The following is a 7988-nucleotide window of genomic DNA, read 5'->3' as shown; positions in this document are numbered from 1 at the left end:
CCCCTCTCTACCACAGGAATCTATATTGAAAACATATTATTTATAGCTGCTGAAAAACATTTTCACATTTTTATAGTTTTCCATATTGTGAATTATTTCTTCTAAAAGTAGAATATAAAAAATTACATTTACTGGATTTCTTTGCATTTAGAGTAAAGGTGTATGATCTAGGCATTGCCAAACAGATACAACTACAGGAGACTTGAATGTGGAGGGGAGTTATAATCAGTGATGGCCCCACACTGGGAGATTGATTTCCTGACAAGGACAGTGGTCAAGGAATCTAGTTCTTTTGGGGCAACAGCAACACAGATTATGGCTTCAGGTTCAGGGTTGGTGCCATATCAATTGGCAACAGGTAGTAGGAATGATGTTTTTGCCAGTATAATTTTTCAGCAAGATCAGCCAGTGTTCTTAGCTTCAATGTCCATGGCAATGAACTATCAAGCCTGTTTTCCAGCAATTCTGGAAATTCCTTGAGCTACCTAATATCTTTTAATAAATCCACTTTTGCTTATTTTTGGACTATTTGGAATGGATCTGTTGTTCATAATCAAGAATGTTGACTATTATACTCCTCCCTTTTTCTTGACTCCTTTCATGTGTTAACCTCAATCTCGTCTCATGCAGACTTTTTCCACATGGTAGGGAAAGGACTACCAGCAGTCATTAACTGGCATTTTCCAGCTCCATAACCCAAAAGGCGAGTCCCCTTCCATTTCAGCACCAAATTTAAAAGCTTGGGAAATAACAATAGCTACCATTAGTATAGCCATTAATATAGCATTTACTATAAACAGACACTAAGATGGTCTATATTTACTTTTTTTTTGAGATAGTCTCACTCTGTTGCCCAGGCTGGATGGCAATGGCATGATCATGGCTCACTGCAGCCTCGAACTCCTGGGCTCAAGTGATCCTCCAGCATCAGCCTCCTGAGCAGCTGGGACCAAAGGTACAGGCCACCACACCCGACTTTTTAATTGTAGAGATGGGGTCTTGCCATGTTGCAGGCTGGTCTTGAACTCCTGGGCTCAAGCAATCCGCCTGCCTCAGCCTCCCAAGAGCTGGGATTACAGGTGTGAGCCACCGTGCCCAGCCAAACTCATTTAATCTTTACCACATCTCTAAGAAACAGGTACTATGATTTTTCCTCATTTTTCAAAAAGGGAAATGATACAATAAATTTCTCAAGGTCATATAGCTAGGAAGTAATAGAATCAGAATTTAAACTCAAGCAATTTGACTCCAGAGTCTGTGCTCCCAATGCAGGGACATTCCAACACAGAAGTGCAGTAAAGATTTTATTCCTACCTCACTGGTTTCCCTTTCCAGAACAAGCAAAGGTCTGAAAAGGGAAGCCAGAGGAAAATCAGATAAAATCTGGAGGAAAATGTGATGGCTTAGAGAAGAAAGGGTTTCAAAAAAGGAGATATGTATCTACTCAATTAGAAGTTACCCTTCAAAACATGTCATATATTCAATTATCTCCATGTGTAAATTATTGAGAGACTGCAGAGAAATTTCCAAATGAAAAGTTACATCATTGAAGAGTAAAGTGAATTTTGAATAGGCTTTCATTATCTATTAATAATCATAACTTCAGAATTATTGACTAACATGTTTCATTTGTGAAGCAAACAATAAACATCATTAAGCATGAAAAAAAGAAGGAAAGAGAGATCAACTGTGTCAGATGCTAGTGAGAGGCTGAATTAGATTCAGACAGAAAATTGACCACTATATTAGATGCTATTGATAAACTGGATAGGATCTATTTCAACAGAGTGGTGGGTACAAAAAAGTGTACTTGGAATGGGCATATGAAAGGAAAAAAATGAGAAAGTAGAGACAGAAAGTATAAACAAATAGTTTGAAGACTGTGAAGAGAGGGAAAGAAATAAAACATATGAGGATGATGTGACGTCAAGGGAGATATAGTTTTATTTTATTTTATTTTTTTAGGTTCCCTCAAATCATGGGATTCAAGGGATGATTAATAATAAAACATGTTTGTATATCATTAGGAATAATTCCATGATGAAAAAAAACAATAATTAAGAAGAGAGAGGGTAACTCCAGTATTGAGGTCCTTGAGTAAACAAATGTGGATGTGATGTGATCTAAGACGCTAACAGAGGGGCTGGACATCAGAAGTAGAAACACTACTTCCAGTGTTCAGAAAGAAACATAAAATACATGGAGGGTACAGATGCAAGTAGATTGGTAGGTTTAGTGATGGGAAGATGAGGCAATTCTAAGTTAGCTACATTTCCTTGGCCGAGGTTATTGGCTGAGAGTGAATGGGATGAAAGAATGGAGGTTTTAGAAGAAAGATTGTCCTAGAGTGTAGGAGGGTGAATGTACCAAGGAAGTGAAACAGCATCATCTAGCAGCATTGGATTCCATTTGGGATTTACAGTGGAAAACTTTAGGCAAGTCCAGTCATCATGGTTGTATGAATTTCCTCTAGTAACATTAGTTTCTCAGGTGTAGTTACAGCATAGGAGGATAACTGGGTTTCACAAGGGGTGAGTTTTTTCAGATGTGTTCAGTGGAGAGAAAGGAAAACAAGAAAGTTCAGGTTTTCTGCAAGAATCTGGCTCAAGTGCCAGACCATGGAAGCTAGCTTAACAAGAAGATAAATAACAATATGAAAGTTAGGGAAATTAAAAAATAAAATCAGCAGGATCAATGGATTGAATGTCCCTATAGGGTCAAAGAACAGTTCCAAGGGAACTGGTAGGAGTGAGATAGAGACTCAAAATGTGATAATCAGACAGCAGGATAGTGATTGCTGTCCAGAGATTTTAAAGGCTATTGGTATTGACTGTTAATAATGTCTATGGTGTGGCTGTAAGAATGGCAGTGGCTGGTTGCAGTGGAGTGAAGATATTTGAAGTAGAGAAGTTCAAGAAATTGAGAGACCAGGGTACTGGGTGGATAATCTACAAGGACAGCAAAACCAACAGGATTGTAGGAATAATGGAGGAAATCAAATACAATAAACTAGATGATAAAGTCATCAAAGAATGATGAGAGACAGCAAGAGATTCTGAAAGATGACAACTATTAGAAGAGAGATTAGGTGGTAAAGTCTGAAGACATGAACTCAACAGACTTAGGGTTTTCAAAGTCAAAAGAAGGATAGATAGTTTGGAAGGATCAATAGGAAGAAAAAAGATACTTACTCTACCTACAGCCAAATAAAGGTTTACCAGAAAGGGGTCCCGATGCAGACCCCAAGAGAGGGTTCTTGGACCTTGTGCAAGAAGGAATCCAGGGTGAGTCCACAGAGTAAACTGAAGGCAAGTTCATGAGTGAAGTAAAGAAACAAAAGAATCGCTGCTCCATAGACAGAGCAGCCCCAAGGGCTACTGGTTGGCTATTTTTATGATTATTTCTTGATTATATGATAAACAAGGGGTAGATTATTCATGAGTTTTCTGGGAAAGGGGCAGACAATTCCCAGAATGGTTCCAAAAAGGGTTCCTCCCCTTTTTAGAATGTATAAGGTAACTTCCAGACGTTGCCATGGTATTGTAAACTGTCATGGCACTGGTGGGAGTGTCTTTTAGCATGCTAATGCATTCAGTTAGTGTATAATGAGCAGTGAGGATGGCCAGGTATCACTTTCACTGCCATCTTGGTTTTGGTGGGGTTTGGCTGGCTTCTTTATGGTGTCCTGTTTTGCCTGAATCTTGTGATACCAGTCCTGCTGACCTCCTATCTCATCTTGTGACTACAAATGCCTAACCTCCTGGGAATGTGGTCCAGTAGGTCTCAGCCTCATTTTATCCAGCCCCTGCTCATGATGGAGTCACTCTAGCTCGAACACCTCTGACAGAAAGACAAGACATCTTCCATTTGGGAGGAAACTGCTTCTAGGAAAGAAATTTCCTCAGGGAACAGCCAAGTTTCAGTTAGAGGAAGAAGGGGAAGCAAATGTTCAGAGAGCAGTTTTGGGATGTAGAAAAGTTTGGTAATGGAAAACCAAGAATTATAGAGGGCAGTGGAGGAGTCTGAGATTGCAGAGCAGCATAAACAAGATAGAGTGGGGAAGGTAAAAAGCAGTGTTGAGACAAGCGATAATGATCTAGGAGGTGTGGACTTCTAGCACTGAGGTTATTGGAATGTGGGGTATGTTGTGAGCTGTCCTGGAAGGCTAGAGGAAGCTGAGTAACCAGTGTTATCCAGAGTGTTTAGCCAAGAGGTGTGGGTCATTGTTTAGTCCCATATCTCACAGAGGCGTTTGGGCCTGGGGAATGGAAGAGGGCCTCCTAGAAAAACAGCTCATCATGGGTTGTAAGCTGTTCAATGAGCAGTGCTGGCTGGGGAGGAGTTCTCTCTAGAAGCACTACTTGCTGTTGGGACCTCCAGACCCTGGTCTCTCTTTTCATTGCAGTACTGTCACAGCCTGAGCATCAGTGGGGCCACAGGTCGCTTCACCAGGTGAGAGGTGCAGAAAGAAGAGCCATAGTGGGTCTCAGAGCAGAAAGTTTTGGGGCAACTGGAAAATGAGACCACATGAGGAGCTGGGGCCATTAGTCTCTCTCTCTGGAAAGAGAAAAGGAGTTTCATTGTTTTGTTTTGTTTTGTTTTTGTTTTTGTCATCTGGCATTACAGCCTTATCTTTAACCAAGTTTTCTTTGCTCCATTTTTCAAGTTTCACTACCCTGAATTTTGCCTCTTTCAACCCCAGAAAAGTCCTTTTCTTCCTTGACCACGATTTCAACAAATAATACAAGCTAGGTATGACTGAACTACCTTCACGCAACACTTTGAACAAACTCCAGTGATATTTGAGACTTCAGACAACTACTGCTCTCTTATCATCCTTTGCTGCCATTCCATCAAAACAAAACAAAGTAGACAAAGACATGACTCACAGATGACTGATTGAGGTTAGACATACAGATGGATAGATAGACAAATAGATAATAAATAAATGAGAGAAGGGAAGAGGAAGAGTGGGGAGGGGAGTGGTAAGGAGAGAAGAGGACAGATTTGGTCATCCCTTTGATGGCTGGTAAAATGTCTAGATATTCTTTGGAATAATTCAATTCTACAATCTTATCAAAAGGATAATCTTATTTAGAAACATAATCAGCAAAACTAAAACTAATTTCCCAATTCCCCAACTTCCACATCCAAAAAATTATTACAGCTCCCAGACAAATGCAGATTTGAATTAGGAAAGGCCTAAAGGGAGCATTAGAAGGCACACTGAAAACTGTCTTCCTAACCTCTCAATCAGAACTGATCTTAAAAACCCAAAGCTAGAAGAATCTGTTTGGAGGCAAAAATCAGAGCTCTAGTCCAAAGACCTGTTTAAATAGAAGCTAAATCCTGATCTTGCCTGGAAAATGAGGTTCTTACATCAGGGTTACTCTCATAACAATGAGGAGAAACTGGCATTGTCTCTCGAGGTAAGGCTCCATCGGTGGATTATGGCAGCTAAGGAAGGGAGTCAGGATCAGAGCTTCAAACACAACCAGCTAAGGAGCCCTCATTTAGAATTCCCATTGTGAGTTTACCCCCTGGGTGGCCCATAAGGCTTCCTCTACTTTCCCTTAAACACCACACACACACACACACACACACACACACACACACAACTATTCTGCACCTTTTGAAGCTAGTATGGCAGTTATCCAAGCAAAATGGAAAATTTTTTAAATTCTACAGCATTTCAAAGAATGTTAAATTACCCAAAAAAGTGAGAATTATTTCTCCAGGGCATAGAATTATTTATATAGCTACCATAACTTTTAAAACAATGTTGATGTATAATGACATTTGTTCCATTAAAAAAAAATCTCCCCTGGCCTTTTCAGGTTCATTGTTCCTTGATTAGTTGATCCAAACTAAGCATTCCAGACATTGTTGTACAATAGCTCCATTCTGTATTCCAAAATATTTATATGGTATGACACACTTGAGCTATGTTTGCCTATGGTAGTTAGGTTTAGAACCACTTTAGAACACACACAGACCTATAATCCAGCCAGTGTTCCAATTAGACTTTTCAGAACTCCCCATCCCCTCCGTACTCTTCTCAAATCTGTTTCTGCTGGCCAGGTGCAGTGGCTCACGCCTGTAATCCCAGCACTTTGGGAGGCCAAGGTGGATCACTTGAGGTCAGGAGTTCAAGATCAGCCTGGCCAACCTGGTAAAACCCTGTTTCTACTAAAAATACAAAATTAGCTGGGAGTGGGGGCGCACGCCTGTAATCCCAGCTACTCCAGAGGCTTAGGCAGGAGAATGGCTTGAACCTGGGAGGTGGAGGTTGCAGTGAGCTGAGGCCGCACCACTGCACTTCAGCCTGAGTTAAAAAACAAACAAACAAACAAACAAAAAAAACAACAATAAGAAAACTACCTGTACATATCTGTTAAATTTACATGTATATATCTTTAAGAAATCACATATTGGAATTTGGTGTTTTTGAAACTGCTCATTATGACCATTTGTCCATGTAAACAAAATGCAGCTTTCAAGGCTTCTCGGTGACATATCTCTTAGGAATTGGCAAAAAGGCTTTAGAAAATAGATATTTGGCTGGGCATGGTAGCTCATGTCTGTAATCCCAACACTTTGGGAGGCTGAGGTAGGAGAATCACTTGCCTCCAGGAGTTCAAGAGCAGCCTGGGCAACATGGTGAGACCCCATCTCTACAAAAAAATAAAAAATTATTTAAGCATAGTGGCACATGCCTGTAGTCCCAGCTACTCAGGAGGCTGAGGTGGGAGGATCGCTTGAGTCCCGGAGGTTGAGGCTGCAGTGAGCTGTGTTCACACCACTGCAGTCGGCCTGGGTGACAGAGTGAGACAAGAAGAAAGAAAGGAAGGAGGGAGGGAGGGAAGCAGGGAGGGAAGGAAGGAAAGAGGGAGGGAGGGAGAGAGAGAAGGAGGGGGGAAAGAGAGAAAGACAAAATAAAAGAAAAAGAAAGGAAGGAAGGAAGGAAGGGAGGGAGGGAGAAGAGAGAAGAGAAGAGAAGAGAAGAGAAGTAAGGAAGGAAAAATATGGTTGTGAAGCATCTTCCCACCCCTTCAACCTCTCTCTCAAACCATAGTGATGGCTGAGCTTATGGATGAAATGATCAGTTTAGAGAAAAATAACTGTTTAATCTTCTTTGCTGGTTAAAAAGACAAGAAAATATTTCCCCCTTGAAGAGTCTGGTTTATGAAAGATGAAGAATATATCAATCCAGAAACAGCAATGGCAGAAATAATTTGTCAATACTTTAGAATGCTTTGTCAAACCCACCATGGACTTTCAGTCTTTGTAGTTAGCAAGTCCCAGAGCTTCATGGTGCAGCAAAAGGGCTTTGGACTTATTCCAGCTTACCCACTAACAGGCTATGAGACCTTGTCAAAGTTACACCTTGCTTTTGGCCTCAATTTCTCTATCTGTAAAATAAGGAGGCTAACATACTAGGTGATCTGTAAGGTTCCTTTTATCCACGACTTTCTTTTTTGTTTTGTGTTTTTTTTTGTTTGTTTGTTTTTTGTTTTGGTTTTGGTTTTGGTTTTCTGAGACGGAGTCTCGCTCTGTCACCCAGGCTGGAGTGCAGTGGCGCAATCTTGGCTCACTGCAAGCTCCGCCTCCCGGGTTCACGCCATTCTCCTGCCTCAGCCTCCCCAGCAGCTGGGACTACAGGCACATGCTGCCACACCCAGCTAATTTTTGTATTTTTAGTACAGACAGGGTTTCTTTGTGTTAGCCAGGATGGTCTCGATCTCCTGACCTTGTGATCCGCCCGCCTCGACCTCCCAAAGTGCTGGGATTACAGGCGTGAGCCACCGCGCCTGGCCTTATCCATGACTTTCTCTAAGATATGTATCTCCATCTGCAGCCATCTGAAGCAAAGGGGTGAAGAATCTAAGTACTACTGTCAGACTGCTGGGGTACAAATCCTATCCTTGGTCACTCCAGCTGCATGAAATGGAGGAAGATACATGACCTCTCTGTTCTCAGTTTCTTCA

The 7988-nt window shown here is 41.2% G+C and overlaps 1 annotated feature.

Moving 5' to 3' along the window:
- Nucleotides 5210-5772: an enhancer, noted in NCBI's record as "OCT4-NANOG hESC enhancer chr4:129242766-129243328 (GRCh37/hg19 assembly coordinates)". NCBI's record gives its function as "activates a minimal SCP1, AML or CMV promoter by ChIP-STARR-seq in primed H9 embryonic stem cells {active_cell/tissue: H9 hESC(primed)}" and the evidence as "EXISTENCE:reporter gene assay evidence [ECO:0000049][PMID:30033119]".

The sequence above is a fragment of the Homo sapiens genome, chromosome 4 (assembly GCF_000001405.40).
Source record: "Homo sapiens chromosome 4, GRCh38.p14 Primary Assembly".
In the NCBI taxonomy this organism is placed as follows: domain Eukaryota; kingdom Metazoa; phylum Chordata; class Mammalia; order Primates; family Hominidae; genus Homo; species Homo sapiens.
This window is presented reverse-complemented; position numbering and strand designations above follow the sequence as displayed.